The sequence below is a fragment of the Homo sapiens genome, chromosome 21, assembly GCF_000001405.40.
Source record: "Homo sapiens chromosome 21, GRCh38.p14 Primary Assembly".
Taxonomy (NCBI): domain Eukaryota; kingdom Metazoa; phylum Chordata; class Mammalia; order Primates; family Hominidae; genus Homo; species Homo sapiens.
This window is the reverse complement of record NC_000021.9, coordinates 21,273,307-21,288,714: the sequence shown is the minus strand read 5'-3', so window position 1 is coordinate 21,288,714 and position 15,408 is coordinate 21,273,307. Positions and strand designations below refer to the sequence as shown.

Genomic DNA, 15,408 nt, shown 5'->3' with positions numbered 1-15,408 from the left:
CTTTAATAAAGGACTATATGAGGTATAAGCAGTGAATAATATTATTTCATATAAGTCTATTATAAATGTACAAATTGTTCAATAATGATTTATGTGATAAGTTTCTACACTATTTCAAGGTTAGAAAAGTGTGTCCTTCCTGATAATTTACTTGAATACTTTAAATTCTATAGTTAAAAATATGATTTTATTTTATTTTTATTTTTCACCTGCCACACAACTTAGTGTTATGTTTCACGTTAAACTATACCCATTTCTTCTACATTGGATTTTCTGGTTCTAGATATAACCTAAACACATGTAATTTTAGCAAAACTGATTCCAAGATTTAAAAACTCATAGAGAAGGAATGAGAGCGATACATGTCATTTATTAAGAATCTAATATATAGCCATATATTTTATTCATTCACTTAACAAATGAAGTATAGCTGACCCCCCATATCCATGGATTCCACATTCGTGGATTCAAACAACTGCTGATGAAAAATATATTTTTTAAAAACTGCATCTTTATTGAACATGTACAGGCTATTCCTTATTTCCCAAATAATACTGTATAGCAACCATGTACATAGTCTTTATGTTGTATTTGATATTATGGATAATCCAGATGTAATTTAGAATATATGGGAGGATGTACATAGGTTATACCAAATACTATGCTTTTTATATAAGAGACTTTGGCATCGGCTTATTTTGGTATCTGTGGGAGGTCCTGGAACAAATCACCCATAGATGTCAAGAAAGGACTTTATGTCTAAAGTCTCATTTATGACACAAAGCCATTATTTTAAATGAAGGCAATCATCTGTGTTTTACAGATAAAGAGTCTGATTTAGGCACAGAACATTTAGAAAAGATGTTCAAAGCTTCAGGGCCAAGGAAAGGAGGAAAGCCAAAATGGAAATCTGGCTGTACGTCATTTAGTCCTGGGATGCTGGGGAAATACGTATGAGCTCTAGCATGGAAATATCACTTCTCCATCACCACTACCCGTTGTCATCAGTCTTTGCTTTGAGGCTTTGCTCTATTTGACTTTTAAAAATAAAATTTACTTCAAAATATTCTACTAATAAAGTTTTACAATAAACCTACACTTGAGGTGTAAGATTAGACAGTCTGAAAATATTTAGACATTGTCATTCCACCGTTACAAAAGGACTGCTTTTTCTTTATTATTGAGGGGAAAAGAGCTAAAAATACATCAACCCATTTACTCATGTGACTTGTTAATACACTGTACAGAGTTATGCTGAAACAGAACAAGAGGAAATAAAGTGTTATTTCTCATTAATGTATTATAATGGAAACTGACAAGCATTGAACATGCTAAGCTCAGAAAAATTCTTTCAAAATTAAAAAAGTGACTATTGAACATGATTATCATACATTCTCCCCACATATTCAAAAATAGATATTATTTTCTGTCTCTTCTTTATGCTGTAGAATCTTCATCCCTTGGACACAAATCAGAATCATCGAAGATGGAAACTACTTTAAAAGATTCAATTATTTTGTACCTCTCTGCTGTGCAGGTGCATTGAAAAAATTCTAAATTGAAAATGCTCCCTATGAACATGGTAAAGGAACATAATGTAAGCAAATTATACATTCGATTTCAGATGTCATATTATTCTGAAATTTTAGCACAGTCTAAATCAAAATCATGAAGACAATTTGAATGAAAGTACTTTTCTATTATCTATATGGATCTTTCCATAATATTTAGAACTTGTAGATAACCTTGAACGTACTGCCCCAGAATAATAAACATAATTCACATCAATACTAAGTTTACATATAGTGATACCATAGAATCATGTATAAATTATACAGAATTTGAATACAGCAGGATGTACTCCTTCATTTACTTAGTACTGCTTATAATGTATTCATCTTTTCTTGACACTAGAGCAAAGGTCTGCAAACCTTTTCTGTAAATCTCCAGGTACTAATGATTGTATTTTTTTTAGGCTAACGATTGTACATTTTTTTAGGCTAATGATTGTATATTTTTTTTAGCCACAGCTTCTCAACTATGCCTCCAAAGCTGCCACAGACAGTATGTGGTGAACGGGCATAACTGTGTTTTGATTACAACATAGGGGTAAAGGGCAGTGAATTTGCCCTGAGATCCCTAGATTGCAAAATCCTAATGTAGAGCTTACAGGTTCTCAAAATAGTTGTTGAATATTTGGGGTCAAAAATTCAAATTTCTACAACTAGACACATAGATTCAGATTTTTAAAAACTGCAATAGTATTAGAACATATAACTTAGGGAGTTACCAAAATACTAACTGTCGGAAATAGTGGTGACTTCCTCATTATGATACAACCAGCTGACAGCAGGTGCAGGTGAACTGCTAACTCGGCAAACCACTTCTGCATCTTCTCCTTGTTTGAATTCTTGTGGAGATACCACTTCTCTGAAAGTGAGTTTTTCTGTATCAACAAAGTAAAACAAATCACAAATCACAAATCACAAAAGTATCATTGCTTATTTCTCCCAATAACATAATCCAGACTCTATTGATACTATAATAAAATAATTAGGGAAACCTAGATACTTTAAAATCTTAAACTAGATAATCTACTTCTCCCTAATACCTTCCTATCTCACTGAGAATAAAATCCAAAGATCTTTCAATGCCATATGAGGTTCTGTATAAACTGGAGTGTATCTCCTCAACTCCAATCTCAATTTCTCCTCTCTCTTCCTTGTCACTCAGGAAAACTGTCTTCTTGGAGGTTCCTTGAACATTCCAAGTTTGTTCTCACCACAGGGCATTTGCACCGCCTTCAATTCATTCAGATTCTTATCCAACCTGCCTATATAAAATAGCAATATTCCTTTCCATTTCAAGGTTCTCTATCTCTCTACCCCAGGTAATTTATTTTCCATAGGATTCCATAGCATGTTTAGCTAGCATCTATGTATCTGTTTCAGTTTATTTATTGTCTGTCTGTCTCTGGCTAGGACTCAGAATTATAGTGGATACACACCTAATAAGTGTCTTTAATGAATGAATGAATGAATGAGTGAACATGGATATTTATGCTTGATGAGAAATTCTCACAGAAGTAATGAATTGTTCTTGCAAAAATTTTTTTTACCTTTGCAAATGTCACAATTCTTCTTTTGCATCATTTAAAATAAAGAAGTATTTCCAAACATTATATCTATAAAATGACCATTTCAATTTAATTATTTGCTATTGTGAAATAGATACTCTAGGGGGTTACATAAATTAGGAAAATATCATTTCTTCGGAAGCTCAGAATCAAATGGGAGGGAAAAATTCCAAATCAGGAAACACAAGAGCAACAATGTGCCCACAAATTGCGTTGGTCATCAAACAGGAAGTCCTACTGTAGGAATGTTCCGACTTTGTTTTTCATATCCTATTTCTAGAATAACAAACAAAACACAAAGCTACAGATATGAGATGATTTAAGGGCTTGCATTCCTAATATATATATAATTTACCATTGGTAGAAATGCTAACTACCTATTAATCGTAAGGCATTGTTGTAAGTACTTTATGCAATATAATTTAAGGTAGTACTCAAACTCCATATATCACATAGGTACCATTATTATCCTCAGTTTATATATGAGGAAACTAAAGACAGAGAGGTTACATGATTTGCTCAAGGTCACGAAAGTAATTGGGATAGCTTGCTTTAAAATGCAGGAGTCAACAGATTTCAATGTTCCTAAACAGGTTAATGGTTCTTAAATATAAGGAGGAGAAAGGAACATAGGAAGAAATCCATCCCAGGACATAAAATGAAGTGCAAATGTGGAAAGCTTTGCTAATAAAAACACTTAGTGGTAAAGAATCCTGACTCAATATTATTGGCTACTAGATCAGTTTCAACTTTCTGACTACTCTTGTTCACTGACCCTTCCCCAGATTCTCATTCTACAATGGTCAGTGCTGTCACACATTTTCATTTATTCTAATCATGACCTTCTATTTTACAGTGAAAAAAAAAATGCTGAATAAATATCATACCACTAAATAAACCACTATTCTCTATATACCCAGTGAATTCTTAATGGCTTGAGAAAATGAAAACATTTTTATTAATATTATTTAATATAATTGATGCCCTATATATGTTTATAACCACTTATTATCTGTTAGCTATTCTATTCTAAGATACACTCTGGTAAAGCATAAATAAACTGATATTTATTTTCAAAGCACATAGTTCTTAATAAGTGTTATCAAACATTTTATTTTTTCGGTTATTTATAAGCAACTGAAATTGAATAAACTAAAACATATAAATACATTACTTACGGTAAATTTCCAAAACTACTGTAGCTTCTTGTGTTTGTCCTTTGGCATCTGTTGCTTGACAACGATATATCCCTGCATCTTCTATATTTGCATTGTAGATGGTTAACCGTGACCTAACACCTTCCTTTTGCACTACTACCCTCTGTGTTGAAATTATCTTCTCTCCTTGAGGATTATACCAATCTATACTTTCAGGTTCACCAATCGCTGCAAAGAGCCATGGAAAATAAAGGTTTGAAAATTGTTAAAAATATTTGTTTGAACATTGGCATTTACTATTATGTAATAATATTAACCATTTAGAAAAAAAATTATGTAACAGACTGGAAATCTGAGAATCTTACAAAACTTAAAGTAAACACAAATGTTAGTGCAAATGTTCACCTTTGTTTATCCAACATGGAAGATTCACGCTTGAGTAAGCAATACCTAAAAGTTTCACAGCAAACTTCTTGTACAGTATTTAAGCTATGATTGTTGAAATTTTCCCTTGGTAATCAATGGATTATTACATTTAAGTTCTGAAACTTCCTTGACTGCTGAGCCAGACATACAACCCACTTATAGATAATATCTGAACAGAACCACAATTACTAATATGATTTCATCTGCTCAGTGGTCTTTGCTAGGGTCAGGAGATAGCACTTAAATCTCTGAAAATGTCGAGCTTACAAAAATGTAAATCTTTCACAAAACCAACTTTGGCCTTTGATAATACTAAATTTGAAATTAATTTCCCTAGTTGCTAAATTTGAATAGATAAGGCCAACGACCGTTTTTATAATGATGTCCTAATCTCTTTTCCCAAGAGAAATAAGTAGTTTCATTATTTTAATCTAAAACTGTTAACTATTTATTCATATGATAATTTCAATGCATTGAAATGATACTTATCTAGGTAATTACAACCAAATCATTACAGGGTAAACATTTATTTAAGTTTTCCAATTCAGAATCTAGGTTACTATCCTTTCATTAAAGCTGAAGATTTCTGTGTCTGCTTTTAGTCACCAAAAGGATGTATTTCACCTAATTACTTCAGATATCATTTATGGAAGCAGCAGACACTATTAACTCAAAAGTATCGATGTGGAAATGCATGAAGTCAACTAACATCTGCAGGACCTCTTTGAAGAAAATTATTCCTTCTCATTTTTCCGAAGAAATGGTTTTAGAAACAAATTATCCTCCTTTCTATAAGAAATTAGACATGCTTGAGTAAAAGTATGAAAGAAAGTTTAGTGAATCTTAAAAAGATCTCAGTTACATTATCTTCATCTTTTTCTAAACAAATCATAAAACCATAGTTGTTACAGAGTAATGCATTTGAAGAGGAGGGATGTGTTTTATTTAATTCCTCCATCTATGGAGAAGTCACAAAAAATAATTTAAACATTCATCTCTTTACATTTGAATAATACAAAATAATATTTTATATAGTAAGTTAAATAGGATATTCTGATAAATATTTTGAGTCTTTTCATTCTTAATATAATAGAACATTTCATTTTCATTAACAGTTTATTGCAGATTTTCATAAAGCTGTTATAATTGTTTTCTTTCAGGCATCTCTAACAAATAATTTCTATCAAAATTTTCCATTTTGATAAGGCTGGACTATTTGTACGTACAGATTATTTATAAATAGCATTAAACTTTATTTTCTTAAATGTAGTTATAACAATTTTCTGTATGACACTTCTTTAGCTCTTTGAGGGTGTAACATCCTTCTAGTTTAAATTTAAGATATTTATTTTATTGAGTTTTAGATTTTGTATTTTTAAGGCGTCTGGAAATGTTGGAGGAGTATCTAGATTGTCAGCATTGTAGTAGAAAAATACATACAAGCAGAGTGGCTTGCATGGTTTTCCAATATCTTTATTTTTAGAATCTTGTTTTACTACTATATTTAATATAAATAAGACTACTTCCAGTACTATAGAAAAGCTCTAGGTGATACATCTTTATATAAAAGAAAATAAATGCTTACTTAGTTTACATTCTTATTAAGAGCAAAACTCATCACCAATGAATGGCCTTAATTCACTTTAAAGTATGTCTTAATTTGAGCTATGCAATACATACAGGCAAATTAGTCTGTGCAATATATTTCATAGTAATATACAAATCCATAAAAGTACAACAATTTCATTGTATTTTCAAAATTGATTTTTTAACTATTTTGTTATTCTACCTTTATGTGATACAATTCGTGTGTTCTAATTTATGAGGATATTAATAAAATATGGATGGGATTTAGAAACAGTAACCTATATGCTTGTGTCAAATTTCTGCTGACATAATATATGATGCTGAATCAATCTCTTCCACACTCTCTGATTTTTTCATTTGTCAATATACAAATACTTGTATTAACATAACTATCAACTGACATCTTTAAGAAGGAAAATGTATAAAGAATCATGGGCTCTATTAATATTCCTATAAAATGTGACATGTTATACATATATGCTCTGAATATGATTTATAAAATGTTATAACTATATCTTTTATTTATAAAATATTATATCTCTATATTTATAAATTTGAATCTTGGTTTAAATAAATCATGTCATTCTCAAGACAATTTTTATAATGCATTTTATGTTTCTAGTGTCTATTTTAATCCAGTTTTAAGTTGATTTAGTGTAATCAAGATTAGAAACAATTCTAAAATAGTCTCAACTAATTTTAGCACTAAGGTTTAAAAAATTATTTAGGTATATCATAGTTTGGATATGAAGACTTGTATTTGTAAAAATGAATATATTGTACCTAAATAAATAATGCATTCATTTGTCAGTTCTATAATATGTTTGATTAAACTTTGATGCTGAAATATTTAAATTTCTTTGGAAAGAAAACCATATGTATATTATTATTCTGAATGAGGCCCATAAAATATGCCATAGGCATGATGACATATGATTCTTTCCATTGTCATAAAAATCTAGTCAAAGCTTTCCTGACTAAATAACTATTTCTTCAATGAATATTAGAATAAATTTTTGGCCTAATATTTTCATTCAAGTATAACTATAGTGCAGTGTGCCATACCAAATTTATTCATTGCATATTTACAAAAATGGTTCAGTTATAATCTTTATATTCATCCTAATATTACTGTTTAGACAGAAATATTTAAATTGATTTAAGTTATTATCAGATATAATGCAAGCATAAGGTATTTTCAAAATAAATGATCTAGATTAGCAGTCTAAATTAACAAATTAACAAAAATAAAATTAATATCATTTTATATGCAAGTTATGGCTATTAACACTTTTCCAATCATTATAAGCCCAACAATGGCCAGGTATGATGGCTCACACCTGTAATCCCAGCACTTCAGGAGGCCAAGGCGGGCGGATCACTTGAGGTCAGAAGTTTGAGACCAGCCTGGCCAACATGGTGAAACCCCGTCTCTACTACAAAAACACAAAAAGACAAAAATTAGCCAGGCATGGTGGTGAGCACCTGTAGTCCAGCTACTGAAGAGGCTGAGGCAGGAGAACGGCTTGAACCCAGGAGGGGGAGATTGCAGTGAGCCGAGATCACACTACCGCCCTCCAGTCTGGGAGACAGAGCGAGGCTCTGTCTCAAAAACAACAAAAACAAAAACAAAAAACCAACTGTAAGATGTTATTGTTAGAGAACTGAGTTTTTAACTAGTTAAATTTAGCCAACACATTTTATTAATATTTTAACAGAAACCACGTTATCTGAAGGTATTTACAGAAATACGTACCTGTACATGTGAAGAATTTAGATTCTCCAACACTAAGCTCTACTTTGCTAAGTGAAATTGTCACTTGAAGAAGAGCTGAAAAAAAATTGGGAAACAATTAATGGTGATTTTTAAGCGTGATTTCTAAGATTTTAATGCATGATGTCTAAACCACATGGTCCAAACGCTGATTATTTCCCCCCAATTTTTTATTACCTATAAAGAAAAATGAAAGTTTTGTAAAACATGATCTACCATTATACATATTACTTTGTTATGCATTTAACCATCAGACTAAATACAGCACTTCTTCAAGCTGATAGTCTGAAATTCTGTTAGTCAAGTAAATGAACAAATTCACACTCAGACAATCTGTTCCTTATTCAGAGATTAGGTCTTATATGTGTGACCACATTGGGCAATAGCTAAAAAAAAGATGTTTGCCCAACAGTTGTATAAATCCTATATTATCATTACAACAACTACACACACACACACACACACGCAAATTAACTACATGTAGACACCTACTAAAAATTGTCTGTGAAGGCAGGCATACAAAGGAAAGAAAGCACTGCACAGAGTAAGATGAAGCAGCACTGATTTTCACAAGATCAGAAAGTTAAGTGAAGGACCCAGGACAATAAAAGAGAGGAGATGCCTGATATTTTAAATAATTTTTTTGTGAAATTTGAAATAAAATACTTGAATATCTAGAAGTTTAGAAGATAAGCAAAGTGTTATTTTAATATGAATTGACATATTTCTAACAATATGGTAGAAAAGAGAGCATGACCACTTTCCAAACTCCGTCTCACCTTCCACGTGCTCAAATGCACGTACTTGAGCTTTTGGTAAAGTGACAAAGCTGCAAGAGGTCAATCAAGGAAGATCTGAAACTAGAGTACGAACCTGCACTGGGAATTTATTGATCATAGTAACCAAAATGCTTATTTCAGTGAACACAGACTACACACAGATAGGATCCAAGTTTTCCCAGAACAACAGGCTGTGATAGAACACCAGATAACGACCACGCCTGTAATCCCAGCACTTTGGGAGGCCAAGGCCGGCAGATCACAAGGTCAGGAGTTTGAGACCAGCCTGGCAAACATGGTGAAACCCCGTCTCTACTAAAAATGCAAAAATTAGCTGGGTGTGGTGGCAGAAGCCTGTAATCCCAGCTACTCGGGAGCCTGAGGCAGGAGAATTGCTTGAAACTGGAAGGCGGAGGTTGCAGTGAGCCGAGATCGCACGACTGCAATCCAGCCTGGCAACAAGAGTGAAACTCTGTCTCAGAAAACAAAAACAAAAAAGAACACCAGATAACACTGGACTGGAATAAGATTTACCATCAAAGGAGGGTATAAAATCAGTCAACCCAATGGTGAAGGGAGATTACAAGGAAACTTGCCTCCCCCAAGCTGGGAAGGGGGAAAATGTTTCTCATTAGATAAACCAGAAGTTTTGCCATATCCCATGTTTGGGATTTTAATTATAAACGTGTTCTTTGGAAAACTTCAACCTGGAAAAACTAAAAAGCAGTCTCACGTGTAGGGCTCACAGCTAAGTGGCAAAAGCAATCACAAAAACCATTCAGAAGAACCATATCATAGGCTCATACTGGCCAATAGTTGTATAAATGAGGCTGTCTTCAATCTGGGGGTGTAGTCTGACATTATAAAACACATGGTGAAATAAGGCCTGTAAGCAGGAGTCAGCTGAAACAGCAAATAGGAGAAATAAACCCATGAGATTTCAACTAACATAATTTTTAGACTAAGAATATAACACAACTACATTGAAAGTATTTAAAGAAATAAAATGTGTAATAAAGAACAGGAGGAAGCAACAAAATATTTACCAAAAAAAATAAATAAATAAAACCCTGGTAATTATGCTGTTTAAGCTCTTTAAAATATGTTTCCTCACAGTCTCCACCTTAAATTGTTAAATTCCTTCCTCCTTTCCAGAAACCTCTCTGGAAAACTTGGGCAGGGTCTACATGACTTTCCTGGGTCCTATTTTTATTCATAATTTACCAATACTCAGAGAATGGTTGTGATATTATAGAGGCTCAATAAATGTTCAAATATATCTAACGTTTCAGAAAGAAAAATAAAAGTGCAAGTCAGAAAGAATAAGAAAAGTAGCCAAGGGAAAAATAGATTTTAGGTACTCTCTTTTTCTCCCTTGCCTACTTTTCTTGTAGATAAACCATTAATGCCAAATCCAGTGAAAATTCAGATGTCTTTTTCCTTTAAATAAGTAAACAATTTTCTTTTTGAAGTTAGCTTAAGTGGAATGAGGTCAACAGAGGCAAAATGCAGAACTCAAGAAATTTGAGATTGCCCTTATAAGAAGCTTGAATCTGAAGAGATGTATGGGGTTACTGGAATCCACAATTCTGGGCAGTAGGGCATGGATTTTATAAATTGAGAAGACTTGAGAATGTTTATGGATAGAAGGGAAAGAAGCAGAAAATATATTACAAGTTTGAAAAAAAAAGGGAGGGGAAATTATAATTATGTGTCTTCTCTTTTCTTTCTTCCCTTTACTTTCTTCTTTAAGATATAATCTTATTTCCCCTAAAACTGTACTTTCTCAAAATCTAATCTTGCCATCTTCAACCTGCAGTTAACATTAGCATACTTCAATTTCAAATTTTCTGTATGCAAACCAAACATATTCCTCTAACATCAAAATTTGCTCACGGTTCACTGTCCCATTTTTAGTCACCATCAATCAATTTTCAAACATTGCCAATATAAACTATTTGTATGCATTTTTTTATTTTTAAATACACGCACTCATTAATTTTAATCCAATATATTTCATCTGCCATATTTTTTCTCACTTTTGCCTCTTTAATCTCTTTTCCCTCTAATGTATTTGTCAGACTACTGCATGCATATATTTCTAAAACTATGTTTAATTTCACTCTTCTGCTCAAAGATCTTCAAAATTGATTTAATTTGTCCCTTACCATACAAATTATAATTGGAAGGAAACTTGCCTTTCCAAGTTTATTTGCTATTACTCATTTCCAATGCTTCTGCAGCTATGATCACCTAGGATTCATTCTCTCTCCTCTCCCCAACTGACTCACACTTGCCTACCATTGTGCATTTGCCCAAACTGTTTTGTCTGTTCTAATCTCCTTTTTCTATACAACCCCTCATGGCTTCCTACTTTCTATCTTCAAAGAAAACATAAAATATCATGAACTTTACAAAACAGTGTGTGATAGACCCATCTATGGTATCAATAAATACATCAATATCTTTGATCAGTAGGAATTTCCATTAAACAAATAAAACTTATTTTGTTGATCATTCTATTTGGTTCTCTACCTTATTTAAATATAAATTTCTGGAAGTGAGGGCTCATTCATCAAACTTTATTTCTCCCAAACTAATAATATATGAATGAATGGCAGAATAATTGACACTTACGAAGAGCTTATCATGTGCTAGTTATAGAACACCGACTGTATTGACAACATATAATTTTGGAATGACTTCATTTAAGGATATCAGGAATCTAAGAAATGTGTGTGAATTATTACTTAATGCCTACCACTGACCTTAGGAGTAAATTTGCTTTTCTAAGGAAGGGTTTATAAAAAAGAACTTGAAAGCTATAGAAATTTTAAAAGTCAAATACAGTTCTGAAAACTGTTTATACTGATTTGTTGATCTTAATTCATTTTAATAAAATAAAATTGAACATGAAATTAATTAATTTATTTATATTAAACATCTGGTTAATTTTTCATTCAGTACAAATTACCAATGCACATATTAATTAAGCCATATTATTCATGGACATTTTGGTGAATGGGCACAATGATATATTTCATTGCTATATATGTTTAAAATATATAAAGAAAATATAATTCTCTACTTCACTATATTTCCCAAAGACCAGATTTGCTCTAATTGAACTATACATATATATTAAAACATTGGCATATTAGTAAATCCTACATAACTAAAATTTGAGGTTGTGCCTTAATCTTGCCCTAGTGGCTGATTTTTGACCCAAATCAATATAAGGTAAGTGATGAGTTTATCACCTATGGCAGCCAGAAGAAAACTAAATTGTTTCCTAATGTCAAAAATTTATGTTTGGAGAAAATTGGACAAGAATGAAACATTTGATAGCTATCCATAAATATCATCACAAATTTCTTACTTAAGGTAAGGAAAAGTTTTAAACCCAAGGACTCAAAAGTAAATGCATGATGAATATATGTTCTCTGTGAATAATTCCCAAAGAAGTGCATGAAATAACAATCTTATAAGTAGAGTTGGGTAAATTAAAAATTATGTACTATACTCATAAGTATTTATTAACTATATGTATTTTGCAAATCCCTCTTCTAAATATGATCATACTCAAAAATAGCAAGAAATACTTTCTAATATCAAGGGGTTTAAGATGTATTTGGGAGGACTATGGGGTACATAAAATTATGAAAAATAAAATAAGATGGGGTGTATCAAGTTTGCCCATTATAAAATTTATGATCAAGAAGACTTTATAGACGACAATGAAACATAAAAAGATAAAAAATGCCATAGATATTGTTATAAAAGGATAGAAAAGAATAAGGGCATTCCACATTGGGTAAGGCTGAAGTGTTCAAGGAACATTTAGGAAATTAGTAGGTCAGTATAGACAAGGTCCATCTCATCTAGAATATTGCTGAAATATTGGAAAAATAGTTTGGAAAACACTCAGGAGAATATCAGAAACAACTGACTTGAATTTTTGTCCAAAATTACTTATAAATAAAAACATACATGATAAAATTGGCATTTGGTAAACACTAGTTGTGAGGTAAAATTACTGACAAATTGAATGAAGGGAGATAAAAACAAGAGGGTATCTTGTGATAAATATATAAGTTTACCTGTGGCAAAGAATATGAAAAGGTAGAGAATAGATGTAAGAAAAGATTCAAGGTACGTTACATCTGTGATCAGTTAAAGCATTAGTGATAAAGGAGAAAAGTCAAAGATGTTAAGATTTTCTACCTCTGTTGACACAAGGGTTATTGATATGACAAAGAATTTTACTATGAGTGTTTACCTACGAGAAAGGTAGGGAGACAGAATTTTGGATATTTCTCATAATCAGTTAATGGAGGGGAAAATATAAGGCCATAAATTTATTTATTTTTATTTTTTATTTTTCTTTTTTTATTTATTTTTATTTTTTATTTTTTTATGACAGAGTCTCGCTCTGTCGCCCAGGCTGGAGTGCAGTGGCATGATCTCAGCTCACTGCAAGCTCCGCCTCCCAGGTTCACGCCATTCTCCTGCCTCAGCCTCCAGAGTAGCTGGGACTACAGGCACCCGCCACCACGCCCGGCTAATTTTTTGTATTTTTAGTAGAGATGGGGTTTCACCGTGTTAGCCAGGATGGTCTCAATCTCCTGACCTGGTGATCCACCCGCCTCGGCCTCCCAAAGTGCTGGGATTACAGGCGTGAGCCACCGCGCCCGGTCCAAATTTATCTTTTTAAATAAAGATTATTTCTCAAAATAAAACATAGGTAACATTATATCGAAGATAATCATTATCATAACAGAGATTAAATTAATATTTATAAGTAAGCACCCAGAGCAAACAGATATTCAAAAGATATTTTTAAAATTTATAGTAATATAAATATAATGAATATATTAGCATTTCTAAGTTCCATCAGGGTACCAAGCGCCCTTTGCTATTTGATACAACATTTAGCAGTGGCATTTAAAATGAGTTTATCACCTACAGAGATTTAAAAACTGACAACTGAACCAGCCTTCTAACTGTCTGACACAGAGCCTGCTTTGGTTCACTTAGAATTTCATAAGACATGTGGAGATAACTTAAGACACTGATTGATCTTGGGACAACGAGCTGCAACATTTTTCAACAAGCACTTTTTTTATTTTTCTAGGCTTCCACATTAACAGTGTTAAAAGACTAAGATATTTATTTAGTAATTATAGAAAATCTCAGAGTATTACTCCTTAAAATGTTCTTATAAATTATTGATTATAGCAAATGAATACAATTTTCTCATTGAAACATATTTTAAAATGTTATCTGCTGCAAAATAATTATTTACGTTATTTAATTATTCTCTCCTTGTTATTGGATTTTTATAACAGTGCATTACAACAGCCTATGTGTGTTATTTGATTCTGAAAAATGCTACAATATTCAAACAATTTCAGAAATTTTGGATCACTTAGGAGAGAAATTCTCTAACGTCAAACATTTTAGGAATTCATGAATATTTTTTAAAAATTATTTTTATTGTTTCTTCTAATTGTAACAAGAAAATAAAGTTAAAGATTTTAGTGTAGTTCCTCTTTACCTGCATACATCTTTATATCTGTACTCAAACCTCTTTGATCTTCTCATCCTAAATTAGGAAAATAGATGTCCCTGCTATTAGGTCATCTGAATCCTTCTAGGGCTAAGTGATTAAAATTTTTTTTTTTTTTTTTCAGACAGAGTTTAGCTCTTGTCGCCCAGGCTGGAGTGCAATGGTGCGATCTCAGCTCACCACACCTCAGCTTCCGGGCTTCAAGTGATTCTCCTGCCTCAAGCCTCCCAAGTAGCTGGGATTACAGCCATGCGCCACCACGCCCGGCTAATTTTGTATTTTTAGTAGAGACAGGGTTTCTCCATGTTCTTCATGCTGGTCTCAAACTCCCGACCTCAGGTGATCTGCCTGCCTCAGCCTCCCAAAGTGCTGGGATTACAGGCATGAGCCAACGCACCCGGCCTAAACTTCTTAGTGATTCTTTTTCTATAGCACTTTTCCTGTCAAGCTATGCACACTCTTTAATAAAGTTTCATCCTAAACAAGAAATAATAATAAATTTAAAACCAAAAGAGAAAATAAAACAAAATAACCAAATAATATTAAAAAATTATCTCCCTAACCCTCTCAAATTAATACAGTATATCCTACTTGTCATTACATTGTTTTAAAAAATGAACTTTCTAGTATCCATTCTTTCTTTGTTTTTTATTCTGTCCTCTCCATTCTACTAATAAGTTTAGTGTTCTTAAAATAAACCATAATCTTCTCATTTTCCAACCCAATAATAGTTTTCAGTTTTCATTTTTATTTTACTTAAGAATGAGATACTGCCAACTACTTTGTTCTTTGACCCTCCTGTTTCCTGACACCTCCATATTTATAGTTTGCTCACTTTCCTGACTATTCTTATATTAGTAAGGATAGTATATAGTATAGTATATAGTAGTATATGGTATCTCTTCTACCATGTATCCCTTAAATATTTGTTTCTTAGCAATATCTTCTTTGTTTTCTTCTCTTGGTGTTCTATCTATCTT

General features: G+C 32.2%; 1 protein-coding gene across 16 annotated transcripts in view; it reads right to left on the bottom strand.

Moving 5' to 3' along the window:
• NCAM2 (neural cell adhesion molecule 2) overlaps positions 1-15,408 on the bottom strand; it is a 544,921-nt gene that overhangs the window by 254,615 nt on the left and 274,898 nt on the right. For 14 of the 16 annotated variants that reach the window (NM_001352592.2, NM_001352591.2, NM_004540.5 and 11 more), the window contains 3 exons: positions 8,063-8,137; positions 4,315-4,521; positions 2,303-2,446 (listed from right to left, as the gene is read on the bottom strand). The exons of 1 other annotated variant lie outside the window; for it this stretch is intronic. In NM_001352592.2, the coding sequence (NP_001339521.1) occupies positions 2,303-2,446; positions 4,315-4,521; positions 8,063-8,137 (426 nt within the window). Of the gene's footprint in view, positions 1-2,290; positions 2,447-4,314; positions 4,522-8,062; positions 8,138-15,408 lie in introns of those variants that run through there. One more of the 16 variants, XM_017028356.3, reaches the window with a different exon arrangement.